The sequence below is a fragment of the Homo sapiens genome, chromosome 2 (genome assembly GCF_000001405.40).
Source record: "Homo sapiens chromosome 2, GRCh38.p14 Primary Assembly".
NCBI lineage: Eukaryota > Metazoa > Chordata > Mammalia > Primates > Hominidae > Homo > Homo sapiens.
The window spans coordinates 227,989,625-228,009,236 of NC_000002.12; the positions used below are offsets into that span (position 1 = coordinate 227,989,625).

Consider the following 19,612-nt stretch of genomic DNA (forward strand, 5'->3'; position numbering starts at 1 on the left):
AGACAATGTCTGACTCTGCCACCCAGGATGGAGTGCAGTGGTGGAATCTCGGCTCACTGCAACCTCCACTTCCTGGGTTCAAGCGATTCTCCTGTCTCAGCCTCCCGAGTAGCCAGGATTACAGGTGCCTGCCACCATGCCTGGCTAATTTTTGTTTTTTTTTTTTTTTTTAAGTAGAGATGGGGTTTCACCATGTTGGTCAGGCTGGTCTTGAACTCCTGACCTCAGGTGATCTGCCCACCTTGGCCTCCCAAAGGACTGGGATTATAGGCATGAGCCACTGCACCTGGCCTAATCACACAAACTCTTTAAAGACAGAGCTTTTTCTGGCTGGTGGCTGAAGGTATCAGGGAGATTGACACCAAAAGGACATAAAGGAGCCATGTGACAGAGAATGTAGGTGGCCTCTGGGCACTGAGAGCAGCCCTCTGCTGACAGCCAGCAGGGAAACAGGACCTCAGTCCTACAACCACATGGAACTGAATTAGCACAACAATCTGAACAAGCTTGGACTCTTTCTCTTCCCCGGAACTTTTGGATAAGTGCCCAGTCAGGCTAATGCCTTAATTTCCACCTTGTAAAACCTAAAGCAAAGATTACAGTAGAACTCACCCTAACTTTGGACCTACAGAGCTGAGTGCTGTTTTAAGCTGGTAAATTTGTGACAGTTTGTTACACAGCAATAGAAAACTAGTATGTTATTATTAATTTGAAATCTTTTAAAACGAGTCTACTTTTAAATTATGGAAAATTGAGCTTGAAGACATTGGGAGACAGATTCATGCCTTACTCTTAATAGCTAAGATTCTACCGCAGTTAATGGTAGGTCTTAGAGATATAGAATTAGAGTGATAGTTACTATTAATTTTGATGTTGGCCAAGGATCTCTTCCCTAGCTTTATATTTCTGGTAGGTGGAGAATAATAAATAAAAAGTCTTCCTAACACGAACCTGTTTGGAAGGGAATTAAAAATGCCTTCTCTTGGCCTGTTTTAGATGTCAGTGTGGCCTCACTTTGGTTTCTGTTATATATCAGGTTCTTCTTTCTTTCTTTTATTTAAAGGATCACTATCAAGAAGTTTGTCCCAGAGCAAGAAAACACCAAAAAAATAACAGACTCTAAAAAAGTTCCCATCCCCTCAATTTACTTTTCTCACTACCACCTACTAGCCAAGACAAAGTAAGGATCAAAGAAACGCTAAGTATATTATATTTACACAGGTGGAAGATTTCAATGTTCTAGCCGCAATTTTAAGATCAAGAACAGTCAGGATCAAATAATTCAAATGGACAGGGGTTTACTGAGCATTTACTGAGTTTCCAGTGGTGATGAAAACACAAAGCTTTCTTGTTTTCCAAACCTGGTACATGATACCTTTTCAATTCTGTTTTCCTGAGATTTCTTAAAGTAGATGGTGGGAATCCCCAGTTCAGAGGCAGCTATCCACTGCAGAGTGGCTCGGAGCTCGGCATCTGGACACTCTGGCTCCAGGTCAAAGTTGATCACCAGCAGGCTCCTCTGGGGGCTGGCTGTTCCCGTAGGCGGTCCAGATGCAGGTGCTGAGAACAGACACAACCACAGCCTTATCCTTCTTTCCAAAGGGACAGCCCAGGCAATTGTGTGTCAAAAGTATGGGAAGGTGGCTTACCCTCTGTGCTTTCTGACTGTCCTTTAAGAATCTTCTTTTCTTCTACTAATTCACTTTGGGAGAAAACAACAGTATATGGTTGGTAATGTTTAGAAGAATAAGCTGTAAATGAAAGATGAGGCGATGGGTCTTACTGATCTAAAAGCTTCTGAAGTTCATTCTGGATTTATTGTTTTTGTAGAGTAGAGTAATGCTGGGAAAACACCAATGTGGCTATTATGTAAGATCACTGGGTCTGCAATAAATGTCCTCCTCCAACAACAACAACAGGCCAGATAACTCAAGTTACTTTAGTTAGGATAGCTGGTGTGGGAGACTGAGAGATGCAACCTTCTCTTCAACCTCCTTACCATAAACTTTCATAGGTTTAAACAATGAAAGAGAGATTTTGTGGGTAACTAGTTCTGATTTGGAGATTTATTCTTTTGCATTTTACTTTCATCTTAATGAATCATATGTTCCCATCTTGTCACAATTTTTTTTCTATACTACAATAGCAACATAGCTTTTATTTTATTTAAAAAATAATTTTACATGTATATGGTTATTTGATCTGAAATAAGAAAAAAGACAACCAACAAACTGCAGAACTTAAATTTGACAGCAAAATATCACAATTAAAGTTTTTCTTTTTCTTTCTTCTTATTGGGGAAGTGTAGCAGGCTGGGTGGTTTAGAATGAGGGACTCATAACTGAAGTATTTCATTAGATATGGTAGAGTTTAATATTGGAGGTGTTTTCATATGGTGTGTACTTATTACAGAACCTTGCATGTAGTGGGAGGACTTGGTAAATGTTTCTAAAGTAAGAACATATGGCCAGCAGCTGAAAGGAAGTGGCTATCCTGGGAAGCCTGTGGTTGTCCTATATTTTTGTCGTGTCTAGAAATTAGAGTACAGGAGCCCTCAAAAATGTGTTGTTTGACGATAGATGATTCTCTCATTCTGCTACTGCTAAGATATGGCTGAAAAATTCCATTGTGTTCCTGATGTTGAGAGAAAGAGTATAGTAATTCTTTCATTCATACTTATTTATTTGCAGAAATGCTAATTTTTCAAGGATCTAGATTTTCTTCTAGATCTCTATGCAAGTGACATAGGGGGTATGACAAATGGGAGGCACAGTTTCTGCTGTTTTGGAGCTGCAGGATGCTGACCATGGAGGTGATTGCTTGGCTTCCTCAGAATACAGATTTTCCCTGGGGTTGTAGGGTCATAGGCTCATATTGCAGAGAAAGTTGGGAAAAGTAGCTAAATAAATGTTTCCTGAAAGAGAAAAATAAATTTACCCCAAGGTAGTTTTTGTTTGTTTTGGTTTTTGGTTTCTCCTTAAAACAAAAGAAAAGAAAACAAAACAAAACAAAAAAACAAGATAATGTGTATGCTCATCTCTACTTGTGAATAATGGCTGTGTGGAGCCACAAAGGAACCACTGTCACCCTCAATCACTGAGGAGCACAACTAGTTAAATGGTGAAATAAAAGTGCTGTAGTTATAGATAGTGATTGAGAAAATAGGTCAGGGAACAACTTTAGCCTATACTTATTTATCATTGCTCTGAAATTTCAGAAATCTCCAAATCATAAGCTAAATCACAATGGTCAAAAATAGATTTCAATCATTTTAATTTTCCAGAATAACCACATATTCTAGAAGTAGTCCCGACCTCATGCTGCCCTCTCTTTTTGCGCCATATTTTAGGATGTATGTACTTCCTAAAAGTACCTGTCCTTCTCTAAGTCCTTTTTTCCTTCTTAAGGAAGTCCCCATATTGTGGAGAGCATAGTCACGGGGTGGGAATGACACATATCCATCATGACAACCATGTAATATTAGACACATTTAGTAGTGATAATCCCAGGTTTCTACATGTAAAGGAAAAGCCATTCACATTTGATTTTATTGAAATGATTATGTTTTATAGTGAAGACTATTGAGTAGTCCTCTTTAGATGGCATGGTATAATTTAAATGGGTTCTTGCTTCTGTTTCTAGGTAGGTAAAATGACATACACTTCAGATTATATTGATAAGTTTTATCTGAAATGATTATTTCACAGGGGGCAGATTTGAAACCCAGAAAGCAGGTGGTGGTAGGGCAGGGCCTATTCTAGGCTTGAATTCTTCCTCCAGTGACATGGAACCACAGCAGTACAGACATGATGAGGTCAGTGGTTGGGCACAACCTGAATGATCAAAATGGATTGCCAGATGGAATTGGAGTAGTGGTCTCACAATCACTGCATCTCAGTGGCTACTTACTTAATCATGGGAGAAGATGGCATGCTTTCCTGATAAATGTCCAGATCCATAATGCCAAGACTGCTAGTGGCACTACTGTTGCCATTGCTGACAAAGCAAAAGTTTACATATTAATGCCCGTCTCCACCCTCTAACATGCTGCTGACAGTGATGTTCCATTGTTGTACAAGCTCCTTCCTTTGGTCCCCAGAAAAATATCGCTTTGTGCCTAGGACACCTCAATTCATATTTATTTCTGAACAAATTAAGAGAAATCATAATGAGACATAGGCCTAACCAGCTCAGCAGATAATAATAATACTACTAATAATTTGTGAATAATAATAAGTTGTGATACCACTTTCTGAAGTGGTATCACAACTGGTAGATCACACCTAGGGGGTAACAATCAGTCTGCCTCTTTTCTTCATTCTAGTTACGGTGAAGGTATTTATCTATCGGCAAGAGATTTCTTGCTGCTGGGGACACCTGCAGAGATGAAGGAACTTCTGAAAACATGGGCTGGCAGGAACCAGTTTTGACAGAAACCAGTGGACTCATGTTCTCCCTTTGACATTTGGGGGATTTTCTCAGGGACATTCCATAGGATTTCATAGGCTGAGCATCTGGCTTGCTATTTTCCCATGAGACTACAGAACCATAAGTACAAAGCTGGGCAATGTCAATGTTTTATCACTCCTTTATCTTACAATCTTCAAGAAAGAGCAACACCTGGTACCTTTTTTACTGTAGAGAGGGAGGACCACAGATTGCATCATGTTCATAGGCTGCACAGTCAACATATGGTCTAGTTACTAGCCTGGAACTTACTGACTGAAACACAGCAAAGTTGAGCCAATTTTTAGGCTCTGTTTGTGCTTGTGAAATGAAATATATCCAATTTTACCAAACCACTCAGTCTCCTCACACCTTCTCTGTTTCCAGTGATGTCTCTTTCAAGCAAGTCTTCCAAAGGGTGAGTGGTGGTGCGTCGTGTAGTGGGACGGCTTTCTCCTGGATATACCAAGAGTAGATGGTACTCTAAAAGTAGAAAATATCAACTGGATGCCCTCGAATTTAAATTCTTGTCTTAGCTTTTGAGGGGGGCACCAGGCATATTCATGTATTGAAACCTGATGGCTCAAAATTGCACTGGAGATAATCAACCCTATAAACCTTATTGTTGAGTCCAAAGATTCGAGTTCTCTTTGCTTTTTGTTTCTATCTTGTAATACTTTCCGCTAGTTTTAGAAGTTTTGACAAACTCTTTAACATTGTGAAATGTTAAGTCTAAACAGACTAAACTCCCAGAAATAAAACTTTCCAAGAGTCATACATACACCCAGATGCTGATCCCATTTTCCATTTGGCCTCTGTGCAAAGTTTGTGGTTCAGTATCAAATGAGATTTTGGGCAGAAACACAGGGAGTCTTTTAGAGGTTCCACCTCAGCAAGGAATAGATTTTAGTTAATGTCTCCTGACTGGCTTGAGCCCTTCCAAATCTGATGTCTCTTAATCTCCTCTCTAGCTTTTTGGGAGGAACAATACAGAGGGCAGGGGAGATAGAGGGAGGAACAGTCAGGCCAAACAATACAACACAGTGTGGAAACACTTGCCTCGTGTAAACCCAGCCTGTGTTGCATCTGAAATACAAATGAACCAGAGACAGAGTATCAAACACACCAGGTGTAAAAGCAGCTCACCATTTAAAAACATTTACAGTTGTCATCATTGAATGTTCTAGCTGGGGCTTGCAGGGAAGGGAACACAGCTCATTCTTAATCACGGCCAAAGTAATTTAAGCCATAACTGGATATTAAGATACCTCTCAGCACAAATCATGACAGGCAGGCCCCTCGACATAGTGGGAACTTTCCTTTTTTTGTTCTCTCCTTCTCTCTTTATTAGGGACCCTTTGCAGAGAACCATTAAAATGCATTTTTAGAATCTGTGTTGAGACCAATTTCCCTGGGAATTCAAGGGAAGAGCAGGTACCTCATGGATCGCTCACTGAGCTGGAGAAAGCTACTTGTGTCATCTGGGTTGTCTTCCTCATTGGCAAGCTGGGTCCAGCTGCCTGTGCTCTCCTCGCTGCTGCTTGGAGGGTTGGGGGCCTCATCGGGGGCTCTGGCTTCTGTGGAGGCTTCAGCCTCTGGTACATCTCTGGTATCAAGGCTGTCACTGTAGAGGGCAAGATATTATTACCAAGAGAGGCAGCACACACACACACACACAGAAACTTCACAGAGCCACTTTGTAGAGTCCCAATAAACAGGATGTCACTGGACACAGGCAGAGTCTCCCTGGGCTGATCCTTCTGCTGGTGCCCTAGGTCCCATTTGCCTTTTCAGGATTACTCCCCATCAGCCAGCTTTTCCATCTCTTCTATTAATCTCTTTCTACTGACTCCCTCCAATCATTTGAAAAACAGGTTGAATGTATGTAGCCTGGCCTACACACAAAAGAATTATTGAGGGACAATGATGTTTAAAAAGAAGATACACAAAGCATTCACCCGAGAGATTATGATTCAGTGTTTCTGGAAGGAGGTCCACAAATCTGCATTTTTATCAATCACTCCTGGTTGATTCTAATGCAAGAGGATCATTAGAAAAATACCTACCCCGTTTCTGGTGCTTTTTACCAAGTCATTTTGCACTGACTTGGTAAAAAGCAAGACGCCTCTATATTTTGATATGCATGCCTCTGTATTTTGCACTTGCACTATATTTTGTGCTGTATTTTACCCTATCTCCTCCCTCTGAAACCCCTGATTTATATCAGCACCACTCTTCTGGATGAGCACTTGCATTTTTAGACCAAGGAGCTCTCCAGAGCATTTAACCCTTGATCTGACAGGCCTTTGTTCTTGAAGCTTCTCCTCCCTGGCCTCCTGTGAATTTCTGTCTCTCTGGTCCCTTCTTGCCTGGAACCCAGTTGTCTGTTTTTCCTTTAAGTGTAGCTATAGCTGGCTCTGATTGATTTCCTGTCCTCCTTTCCACAGTCGGTTCCTAAGCAATCTCATCCACTTGCCTGTCTGTGAAAATAGCTTCCAAGTCTGGATCCCAGCCAGGACCCTTCTTCTGGATTCTGGGCTCCTTTACAAGCGGGTCTTCTGCATATCTCATTAACATCTCAAAATCAATACATCTAAAACGAATTCTAATTGCCTTCCCACCCTCTTCCTGGGCTTCTTATTTCCATTGACTTTTCTGTGTGCCTAGGCTTAAAATCTTGCAGTCTTCCAATTTCTCCTCTTTGCCCTTTACATTCAATAAATTTCTTTGTTCATTCAGTTCCAACTCAAAAGCTTTCACAATTACTTTTAATGGCAAAACCCTCAATTACTGTTACACCAACATACTTTAATTTGTCTTTCTAAATTGCTATAATTCCAGATTTGGAAGGAAGATTTCCTGTAGATGAAGATCCAGAAGCCCAGTGAGATTGGAGGGCTTATCCTGAAACAGGAGTTGGTACTAGACATTTAGACCTTGTGTGCTTGCCTGGACTATAGTGCACCAGCCTTCCAACGGTTGTGCTTCAACTAGTCATCCACTTTCAAAACCTTCTTAACCCTGGTGCCAGATTAAAGTACCTAAAGCATATTGTTGGTTGCTCTTGTCAGGAGCCTTCAGGAACTTCCTGAAGCCAAACTCTATCCGTTGTGGGCTCCCCCTGCTTATCAAGTTTCATGTGCCTCAACCCTAATCACTATTTAACAAACAAAACTATCTACTGTTTTTCAAAACTGCAGGGATTTCTTGCCTCCCAGCCTTTGCCTAGTTGAGTCTTCTGACCAAATGGTGGAGAAGTGTGTGCTTCGAGCATACATTCTGCCATCCAACTGCTGTAGATTCCTGTTCCACGACTTGTCACCTGTTCAACTTAAGTTAATAAATCTCTCCAAGAAAAGTAACAACATCTCATAAAGGTTTTTGGAAGACATAAATTAGAAAAAAAATCATTTAATGCATTTAGCTTAGTGCCTGTATATAAGTATCCAATAAGTATTCTTCTTTATTAATAAATTATATAATTCATTAAGTCTAATAACATGCTTTTGTTAAGAATCACGTCTAATAACACGCTGTTTTGATCTTTGCTTCTCACTACCCCTCAAGCCTCAGCCAAGACACTCCCACCTCCCCAAGGCCTTTCTTAATCTTTTTAGCTGGAGCTCTCTCCCTTGAATGGTTGAAGCAATCTATTTTTCTTTCTTTTTGGTGAAATGGAAGGCTTCCTGAGTCACATTCTAGTACATATAGTTATTTGTGTATATAATATTCGTTATTAAGAGTGTTTGCACTTGTTTGTATTTTAAGAACAGAGCTGTGAACACATAAACTATTCTTCAGATGAATATGTTATTGCTAAAAGTGTCTAGTTTCATAAGCAGAGCCACACTCTTAGTCTAGAGAGCTCCACTTGTTAAGTTGTAAACTGTGAAAGATCTGAGATGTGGCACTACTTGCAAGCTGGTAGTTTTTTGTTTGTTTGTTTGTTTGTTTGAGACAAAGTCTTGCTTTGATGCCCAGGCTGAAGTGCAGTAGCATGATCTCAGCTCACTGCAACCTCCGTCTCCCAGATATAAGCAACTCCCCTGCCTCGGCCTCCCAAGTAGCTGGGATTACAGGCATGTGTCACCATGCCTGGCTAATTTTTTTATTTTTAGTAGAGATAGGATTTGCCATGTTGGCTGGGCTGGTCTCGAACTCAAGTGACCTGCACTCCTGGGCCTCCCAAAGTGCTGGGATTACAGGCATGAGCCACTGCGCCCGGCCTTTAGGGTTAATATTCAATCACCCTTTAATTCAGGTATGAGTGCCCTTTGCTCAGGAAACTCTGATGTACAGAAATGTAAACGTGTTCATGGAAATTTGTCTGCAGACTACTTACAAGGTCATCAAAAACTAACAGTATTTATGTTTTTGACATTAACAGACATAAATGACTACAAACAAAAAGCAACAGCATATTTTGCTATTGACAGTAAAAACAGTCACTTGATCTAGTAGATGCTGGATTGTTTTACTTCAGGCCATGGTACCCTGACTGTGGAGAATACAGGCTGCTGACTGTACACACTGGGAATTACCCTCAGTGAAGGAATTGCCTTGCCAAGGTTAGACCCTTTCCCGGTGAGGATCCTAATGTCTGGCTAACATAGAGATACAAAATCCCACTCCTTGCTTCCATTTGCATCAAAACTGACAGACCATCCCATCTTCCGGGTTTCCTGCAGGATGTGCCGAGGCCTCAGTTGCAGACACACTTGGGAAGGACCTCTCCTCTTGGCCAATCCTGCCTTTCCCACTTCCTTACATGGGTATGCATATATTTCTGCAGAGAACTCCCTGACAAATTATCTGCCTGCAGCTCTCCCTCTCAGAGTCTGTTCCCAGGGAATACAACCTAAGACAGGTGGCCTCTTTCATTTAAAGTAAAATATTGGCTGCAGAAAGGTCTATGTAATTTTCCTCAATCTTAGAATTAGTACTGTTATCCGTTCTCTGAGAATGGTTATATTTTAAAAATTTAAAAAAGTTCTCATATAGAGAGCAGAGTTTCAAATGCATAACTTTTTGAGTGTGATTAAAAATCTCCTTTTTGATGTGTGAACTTGTCACCTAAGGAATTTTACAAAAGGCTTTGGATGCTTGATCCTGACAGTCCTTCTCACAGTGTTCTGGGTAGGTTTGGCATTGAGGTGTGGTTATTTCCAGTATGCTATGCTGCTAACACTTTGTGAAAGAAGGTCCTTGCTTGGTTTTTCTTGTTGAAATATTGAGATTTTTCCAAATCATGTAGGGAGGAAGGAGGAGAATGGTGCAGCCAAAGAGGCAGCATGGACTTAAATTCAAATGAAAAAAAAGTTCATTGATGACAAATGGAAATAATACATATATCCCCAACACAGTGCAAATGAGCCAAGAACCAGATACAAAGGAGAAGATTCCCAAACCATTCACTTGCCTAGGTAAAAAGTCATTTCCTGGACCAATTTCTTATTAAGTTAGAATCTCATGTTATTAGAAACATTTATTCCAGGCTATTTCTTACTAAAGAAGTTAAATCTCAGTGATTGACATCCAACATCCTTATTAAAAAATGAGTCTGTCAGTGTATTTTACTTTATCTCAACTTCATGCTCTATTTAAAGTAAATCTCACATTCCATGTCACATAACTAGGAGTTCAGAATGAATAATCATTATCCACAACACTAGTTTTCATTTTGAGAGAAATTGAAATTTACAGTTCTGCTCATTTATTTATGAATAATGCACAGAGGTGTTGTGCAGATGCATGCAGATGGCTTCCCCCTTCTTATCTTACATGTCATCCACAGAGATTCAGAAGACTATGTCATATCAAATTCCATCATAGAATCTAATCTCTCAGTTGGCAGAGATTTTAGAGACCATCTAGCCTGTAATTTCCATTAGGGTTCACTCTTGATGTTGCATGTTCTATATAGGCTTTGACAAATGTATAATGACTAATATCATACAGTATAAGTTCACTGCCCTAAAAATCCTCTGTGCTCTACCTGTTCAACCCTCCTGCCCTCTAACCTCTGACAACCACTGATCTTTTTATTGTCTCCATAGTTTTGCCTTTCTTGAGACTGTCATATAGTTGGAATCATATAGCATGTAGCGTCTTAAGATTGGCAACGTTTGGCCAGGAGCGGTGGCTCACGCCTGTAATCCCAGCACTTTGGGAGGCCAAGGCGGGTGGATCACCTGAGGTCAGGAGTTCAAGACCAGCCTAGCCAACATGGTGAAACACTGTCTCTACTAAAAATACAAAAATTAGTCGGCCGGGCACGGTGGCTCACGTCTGTAATCCCAGCACTTTGGGAGGCCAAGGTGGGTGGATCACGAGGTCAGGAGATGGAGACCATCGTGGCTAACATGGTGAAACCCCATCTCTACTAAATATACAAAAAATTAGCCGGGCATGGTGGTGGGCGCCTGTAGTCCCAGCTACTCGGGAGGCTGAGGCAGGAGAATCGCTTGAACCCATGAGGTGGAGGTTGCAGTGAGCCAAGATGGCGCCACTGCACTCCAGCCTGGGAGACAGTAAGACTCCATCTAAAAAAAATAATAATAATAAAAATAAAATAAAATAAAATACATAAAAGATTGACAACATTTAATAATATGCACTTAAGGTTCCTCTGTATCTTTTCATGGCTTGACAGTTCTTTTTTGTTAGTGCTGAATAAAATTCTATTGTTTGGATGTACCACAATTTATCCATTTACCTACTGAAGAATCCCCTGTTGCTTCTAAGTTTTGGCAATTCTAACTAAAGCTAGTATAAACATCTGTGTGCAGGTTTTTATATGGGCATAAGTTTTCAACGTGTTTGGGTAAATACCAAGGAACAGGATTGCTGGGTCGTATGGTAAGAGTATCTTTAGTTTTGTAAAACACTCCCCAAATGTCTTCAAAAGTGGCTGCTCCATTCTGTATTCCAATCAGTAATGAATGAGTTTCTGTTGCTCCACATCTTTGCCAGCATCTGGTTTTGTCAGTATTTTGAATTTTGGGATTCTAATATGTATGTGGTGGTATCTGATTGTTTTGATTTGCAAGTCCATAATGACATAATGTTGAACATCTTTTTATATGCTTATATGCTATCCATACATGTTCTTTGGTGAAGTGTCTCTTCAGGCCTTTTGATCATTTTTCTTTTATATAAACATATATATATATATATATACACACACACACACATATATAAATATATCTATACATATATCTATACATATAAATATATCTATACATATATAAATATATATACATATATAAATATATATACACATATATAAATATATACACACATAAATATATATACACATATATAAATATATATACATAAATATATATAAATATATACATATATAAATATATATATGTATATATACGAATATATACGTATATATAAAAATATATATACGTATATATAAGTATATATACGTATATATAAGAATATATATACATATATATAAAAATATACATATATATAAAAATATATATACACACATATATATTTATTATACTTTAAGTTCTAGGGTACATGTGCACAATGTGCAGGTTTGTTACATATGTATACATGTGCCATGTTGGTGTGCTGCACCCATTAACTCGTCATTTACATTAGGTATATCTCCTAATGCTATCCCTCCCCGCTCCCCGCAGCCCACAACAGGCCCTGGTGTGTGATGTTCCCCTTCCTGTGTCCATGTGTTCTCATTGTTCAATTCCCACCTATGAGTGAGAACGTGAAGTGTTTGGTTTTTTTTCCTTGCAATAGTTTGCTGAGAATGATGGTTTCCAGCTTCATCCATGTCCCTACAAAGGACATGAACTCTTCATTTTTTATGGCTGCATAGTATTCCATAGTGTATATGTGCCACATTTTCTTAATCCAGTCTATCATTGTTGGATATTTGGATTGGTTCCAAGTCTTTGCTATTGTGAGTAGTGCCACAATAAACATACGTGTGCATGTGTTTTTATAGCAGCATGATTTATAATCCTTTGGGTATATACCCAGTAATGGGATGGCTGGGTCAAATGGTATTTCTAGTTCTAGATCCCTGAGGAATCGCCACACTGACTTCCACAATGGTTGAACTAGTTTACAGTCCCACCAACAGTGTAAAAGTGTTCCTGTTTCTCCACATCCTCTCCAGCACCTGTTGTTTCCTGACTTTTTAATGATTGCCATTCTAACTGCTGTGAGATGATATCTCATTGTGGTTTTGATTTGCATTTCTCTGATGGCCAGTGATGATAAGCATTTTTTCACGTGTCTGTTGGCTGCATAAATGTCTTCTTTTGAGAAGTGTCTGCTCATCTCCTTCACCCACTTTTTGATGAGGTTGTTTTTTTTCCTGTAAATTTGTTTGTGTTCTTTGTAGATTCTGGATATTAGCCCTTTGTCAGATGAGTAGATTGCAAAAATTTTCTCCCATTTTGTAGGTTGCCTGTTCACTCTGATGGTAGTTTCTTTTGCTGTGCAGAAGCTCTTTAGTTTAATTAGATCCCATTTGTCTATGTTGGCTTCTGTTGCCATTGCTTTTGGTGTTTTAGACATGAAGTCCTTGCCCATGCCTATGTCCTGAATGGTATTGCCTAGGTTTTCTTCTAGGGTTTCTATGGTTTTAGGTCTAACATGTAAGTCTTTAATCCATCTTGAATTAATTTTTGTATAAGGTGTAAGGAAGGGATCCAGTTTCAGCTTTCTACATATGGCTAGCCAGTTTTCCCAGCACCATTTGTTAAATAGGGAATCCTTTCCCCATTTCTTGTTTTCATCAGGTTTGTTAAAGATCAGATGGTTGTAGATGTGTGGTATTATTTCTGAGGGCTCTGTTCTGTTCCATTCGTCTATACCTCTGTTTTGGTACCAGTACCATGCTGTTTTGGTTACTGTAGCCTTGTAGTATAGTTTGAAGTCAGGCAGCGTGATGCCTCCAGCTTTGTTCTTTTGGCTTAGGATTGACTTGGCAATGCGGGCTCTTTTTTGGTTCCATGTGAACTTTAAAGTAGTTTTTTCCAATCTGTGAAGAAAGTCATTGGTAGCTTGATGGGGATGGCATTGAATCTATAAATTACCTTGGGCAGTATGGCTATTTTCACGACATTGATTCTTCCTACCTATGAGCATGGAATGTTCTTCCATTTGTTTGTGTCCTCTTTTATTTCGTTGAGCAGTGGTTTGTAGTTCTCCTTGAAGAGGTCCTTCACATCCCTTGTAAGTTGGATTCCTAGGTATTTTATTCTCTTTGAAGCAATTGTGAATGGGAGTTCACTCATGATTTGGCTGTTTGTCTGTTATTGGTGTATAAGAATGCTTGTGATTTTTGCACATTGATTTTGTATCCTGAGACTTTGCTGAAGTTGCTTATCAGCTTAAGGAGATTTTGAGCTGAAACGATGGGGTTTTCTAAATACACAATCATGTCATCTGCAAACAGGGACAATTTGACTTCCTCTTTTCCTAATTGAATACCTTTATTTCTTTCCCCTGCCCGATTGCCCTGTCCAGAACTTCCAAAACTATGTTGGATAGGAGTGGTGAGAAAGGGCATCCCTGTCTTGTGCCAGTTTTCAAAGGGAATACTTCCAGTTTTTGCCCATTCAGTATGATATTGGCTGTGAGTTTGTCATAAATAGCCCTTATTATTTTTAGATACATCCCATCAATACCTAATTTATTGAGAGTTTTTAGCATGAAGGGCTCTTGAATTTTGTCAAAGGACTTTTCTGCATTTTTGAGATAATCATGTGGTTTTTGTCTTTGGTTCTGTTTACATACCTGATTACATTTATTGATTTGCGTATGTTGAACCAGCCTTGCATCCCAGGGATGAAGCCCACTTGATCATGGTGATAAGCTTTTTGATGTGCTGCTGGATTTGGTTTGCCAGTATTTTAGTGAGGACTTTTGCATCGATGTTCATCAGGGATATTGGTCTAAAATTCTCTTTTTTCATTATGTCTCTGCCAGGCTTTGGTATCAGGATGATGCTGGCCTCATAAAATGAGTTAGGGAGGATGCCCTCTTTTTCAATTGATTGGAATAGTTTCAAAAAGATTGGTACCAGCTCCTCCTTGTACCTCTGGTAGAATTCGGCTGTGAATCCATCTGGTCCTGGGCTTTTTTTGGTTGGTAGGCTATTAATTATTGCCTCAATTTCAGAGCCTGTTATTGGTCTATTCAGAGATTCAACTTCTTCCTGGTTTAGTCTTGAGAGGGTGTATGTGTTGAGGAATTTATCCGTTTCTTCTAGATTTTCTAGTTTATTTGCGTAGAGGTGTTTATAGTATTCTCTGATGGTAGTTTGCATTTCTGTGGGATGGGTGGTGATATCCCCTTTATCATTTTTTATTATGTCTATTCGATTCTTCTCTGTTCTTTATTAGTCTTGCTAGCGGTCTATCAATTTTGTTGATCTTTTCAAAAAATCAGCTCCTGGATTCATTGATTTTATGAAGGGTTTTTTGTGTCTCTATCTCCTTCAGTTCTGCTCTGATCTTAGTTATTTCTTGCCTTCTGCTATCTTTTGCATGTGTTTGCTCTTGCTTCTCTAGTTCTTTTAATTGTGATGTTAGGGTGTCAATTTTAGGTCTTTCGTGCTTTCTCTTGTGGGCATTTAGTGGTATAAATTTTCCTCTACACACTGCTTTAAATCTGTCCCAGAGATTCTGGTATGTTGTGTCTTTGTTCTCGTTGGTTTCAAAGAACATCTTTATTTCTGCCTTCATTTTGTTATGTACCCAGTAGTCATTCAGTAGCACGTTGTTCAGTTTCCATGTAGTTGATTGGTTTTGAGTGAGTTTCTTAATCCTGAGTTCTAGTTTGATTGCAATTTGCTCTGAGAGACAGTTTGTTATAATTTCTGTTCTTTTACATTTGCTGAGGAGTGCTTTACTTCCAACTATGTGAATTTTGGAATAGATGCGGTGTGGTTCTGAGAAGAATGTATATTCTGTTGATTTGGGGTGGAGAGTTCTCTAGATGTCTATTAGGTCCACTTGGTGCAGAGCTGTATTCAATTCCTGGATATCCTTGTTAACTTTCTGTCTCGTTGATCTGTCTAATGTTGACAGTGGGGTGTTAAAGTCTCCCACTATTATTGTATGGGTGTCTAAGACTGCCTGTAGGTCTCTAAGGACTTGCTTTATGAATCTGGGTGCTCCTGTATTGGTTGCATATATATTTAGGATAGTTAGCTCTTCTTGTTGAATTGATCCCTTTACCATTATGTAATGGCCTTCGTCTCTTTTGATCTTTGTTGGTTTAAAGTCTGTTTTATCAGAGACTAGGATTGTAACCCCTGCCTTTTTTTGTTTTCCATTTGCTTGGTAGATCTTCCTCCATTCCTTTATTTTGAGCCTATGTGTCTCTGCATGTGAGATGGGTTTCCTGAATACAGCACACTGATGGGTCTTGACTCTTTATCCAATTTGCCAGTCTGTGTCTTTTAATTGGAGCATTTAGCCCATTTACATTTAAGGTTAATATTGTTATGTGGGATTTTGATCATGTCTTTATGATGTTAGCTGGTTGTTTTGCTCGTTAGTTGATGCAGTTTATTCCTAGCATTGATGGTCTTTACAATTTGGCATGTTTTTGCAGTGGCTGGTACCAGTTGTTCCTTTCCATGTTTAGTGCTTCCTTCAGGAGCTCTTGTAGGGCAGGCCTGGTGGTGACACAATCTCTCAGCATTTGCTTGTCTGTAAAGTATTTTATTTCTCCTTCACTTATGAAGCTTAGTTTGGCTGGATATGAAATTCTGGGTTGAAAATTCTTTTCTTTAAGAATGTTGAATATTGGCCCCCACTCTGTAGAGTTTCTGCCTAGAGATCAGCTGTTAGTCTGATGGGCTTCCTTTTGTGGGTAACCCGACCTTTCTCTTTGGCTGCCCTTAACATTTTTTCCTTCATTTCTTCTTTGATGAATGTGACAATTATGTGTCTTGGAGTTGCTCTTCTCGAGGAGTATCTTTGTGGCGTTCTCTGTATTTCCTGAATTTGAATGTTGGCCTGCCTTGCTAGGTTGGGGAAGTTCTCCTGGATAATATTCTGCAGAGTGTTTTCCAAGTCGGTTCCATTCTCCCCATCACTTTCAGGTACACCAATCCGATGTAGATTTGTTCTTTTCACACAGTCCCATATTTTTTGGAGGCTTTGTTCATTTCTCTTTATTCTTTTTTCTCTAAATTTCTCTTCTTGCTTCATTTCATTCATTTGATCTTCAGTCACTGATACCCTTTCTTCCAGTTGATCGAATCGGCTACTGAAGCTTGTGCATTCATCATGTAATTCTCGTGCCACGGTTTTCAGCTTCATCAGGTCCTTTAAGGACTTTTCTGCATTGGTTTTTCTAGTTAGCCTTTTGTCTAATCTTTTTTCAAGGTTTTTAACTTCTTTGCCATGGTTTCAAACTTCCTCCTTTAGCTCGGAGAAGTTTGATCGTCTGAAGCCTTCTTCTCTCATCTCGTCAAAGTCATTCTCCGTCCAGCTTTGTTCTGTTGCTGGTGAGGAGGTGCGTTCCTTTGGAGGAGGAGAGGCGCTCTGATTTTTAGAATTTTCAGTTTTTCTGTTCTGTCTTTTCCCCATCTCTGTGGTTTTATCTACCTTTGGTCTTTGATGATGGTGATGTACAGATGGGGTTTTGGTGTGGATGTCTTTTCTGTTTGTTAGTTTTCCTTTTAACAGTCAGGACCCTCAGCTGCAGGTCTGTTGGAGTTTGCTGGAGGTCCACTCCAGACCCTGTTTGCCTGGGTATAGCAGTGGAGGCTGCAGAACAGTGAATATTGCTGAACAGCAAATGCTGCTGTCTGATTGTTCCTCTGGAGGTTTCGTCTCAGAGGGGTACTCAGCCGTGTGAGGTGTCAGTCTTCCCCTACTGCGGGATGCCTCCCAGATAGGCTACTCGGGGGTCAGGGACCTACTTGAGGAGGCAGTCTGTCCATTCTCATATCTCCAACTCTATGCTGGGAGAACCACTACTCTCTTCAAAGCTCAGTTGGAAATGCAGAAATCATCTGTCTTCTGCATCGCTCACGCTGGGAACTGCAGACTGGAGCTGTTCCTATTCAGCCATCTTGGAACTGCTTTTGATCATTTTTCAAGTTTTGTACTATCCTTAATGGACAAATAATAATTACATCCATTTATGGGGTACGATACAATAATTTGATATATGTATATACTGTGGAATGATTAAATTGGGGTAATAAGAATATCCATCATGCCAAATATTTATATTTTTGATGAGAACATTTAAAACCTTCTCTTTTAGCTATTTTGAGATATATCATACATTATTATTAACTGTAGTCACCTTTCTGTGCAATAGAGCACCAGAACATGTTCTGTCTAACTATAGCTTTTTACCTATTGACTAGAATTTTCCTTTCTCTGTCCACCTCCCCCAGTCCCCAGCCTCTGGAAATCATCATTTTACTCTCTCCTTCTATGAGTTTGACTTTTTAAGATTCCATACGTGAGATCAGACTGTATTTGTCTCTCAGTGCTTGGCGTATCTCATTTAACATAACATCCTCTAGGTTCATTCATGTTGTCACAAATGACAGAATTTCCTGATTTCAAAATATATTACAAAGCAATAGTAATTAAAACAGGATGGCAATGGCATAAAAACAGACACATTGACCAGTGTAATAGGATAGAGATTCCAGAAAGAAACCCACATATCTATGATCAACTGATTTTTGACAAAGGTGCCAAAAACACATAATGAAGAAAGGATAGTCTCATCAATAAATGGTGTAGGAAAACTGGATAGCCACATAGAGAAGACTAAAAATGGACCCTTTTCTCACCTCTTATATAAAAATCAACTAAAAATGGATTAAATACTTAAATGTAAGGACTAAAAGTATAAAACTACTAGAAGAAAACATAGCTGAAAAACTCCTTGACTTAAACTGATTTAAAAATGAGTTTTTAAAGTTTTTATCTTTATGTTGTTGAGTTTTAAGAGTTCTTTGTATATTTCAGGTAATAGTCCTTTATTAGATATGTATTTTAGAAATATTTTCTCCCAATCTGTGGCTTATCTCTTCTCATTCTCTTGTCAGTGTCTTTCACAGAGCAAAAGTTTTTAATTTTAATAAAGTCTATTTTATCAAGCCTTTCTTTTATAGATTGTGCCTTTGGTGTATCAAAAATGTCATTGCCATACCCACAATCCATCTAGATTTTTCTCCTACATTATCTTCTAGGAGTTTTTTTTTTTTTTTTTCCTGCGAGAGAGTCTTGCTCTGTCACCCAGGCTGGAGTGAAGTGGTGCAATCTCAGCTCACTGCAAACTCTACCTCTCAGGTTCAAGAGATTCTCCTGTCTCAGCCTCCCAAGTAGCTGGGATTATAGGCACACCATCACACCCAACTAATTTTTGTATTTTTAGTAGAGACAGCATTTCACCATGTTGGCCAGGCTGGTCTCAAACTCCTGACCTCAGGTGATCCACCCACCTTGGCCTCCCAAAGTGCTGGGATTATAGGCTTAAGCCACTGCTCCCAGCCATTCCAGGAGTTATATAGCTTTGTGTTTACATTTAGGTCTGTGATCCATTCGTGTTATTTTTTCAAATGGTGTAATGTGTCTGGATTCATTTTTTTTTTTTTGCATGTAAATGTCCAGTTGTTTCTGTACTGTTTATTGAAGAGACTATCTTCTCTTCAATATATTGCCTTTGTTTCTTTGTCAAAGATCCATTGACTCTATTTGTGGGTGTCTATTATTGGGCTCTCTATTCTGTTCCATTGCTTGATTTTGCCAATACCACACTCTCTTGACTACTATAGCTGTAGAGTAAATCATCATGTCAGGTAGTCTCAATCCTCTAACTTTGTTCTTCCTCTTCAATCTTGTGTTCAATATTCTTGGTCTTTTGGTCTCCATACAAACTTTGGAATTAGTTTGTTGATATCTGCAAAATAACTTGCTGGGATTTTGATTGGGATTGTAATGAATCTATAGATTCAACTGGGAAGAACTGACATCATGAAAATATTGAATCTTCCTATTAACGAATAGCCTTTATTTTTGAAGGAATTTTTGCTGGATAAAGTATACTAGGCTGACAGTTTTTTTCTCCTTCAGCATAGTATAGTTGTCATACTTTGTCTTTTATCTTACATTGTTTCTGATAAGAAATCTGCAGT

General features: G+C 39.2%; 1 protein-coding gene and 1 long non-coding RNA gene across 7 annotated transcripts in view; one reads left to right on the forward strand and one right to left on the reverse strand.

Annotated features, from left to right (window-relative positions):
- Positions 1 to 19,612, forward strand: part of LOC105373918 (uncharacterized) — a 79,493-nt gene that overhangs the window by 27,023 nt on the left and 32,858 nt on the right. The gene's annotated exons all lie outside the window — the stretch shown is intronic.
- SPHKAP (SPHK1 interactor, AKAP domain containing) overlaps positions 1 to 19,612 on the reverse strand; it is a 201,733-nt gene that overhangs the window by 9,670 nt on the left and 172,451 nt on the right. For 4 of the 6 annotated variants that reach the window (NM_001142644.2, XM_006712777.4, XM_005246870.5 and 1 more), the window contains 4 exons: positions 5,885 to 6,070; positions 3,910 to 3,996; positions 1,650 to 1,702; positions 1,376 to 1,560 (listed from right to left, as the gene is read on the reverse strand). In NM_001142644.2, coding sequence (NP_001136116.1) covers positions 1,376 to 1,560; positions 1,650 to 1,702; positions 3,910 to 3,996; positions 5,885 to 6,070 — 511 coding nt within the window. The remainder of the gene's footprint in view (positions 1 to 1,375; positions 1,561 to 1,649; positions 1,703 to 3,909; positions 3,997 to 5,884; positions 6,071 to 19,612) is intronic. The other 2 variants (NM_030623.4, XM_006712778.5) reach the window with 1 other exon arrangement.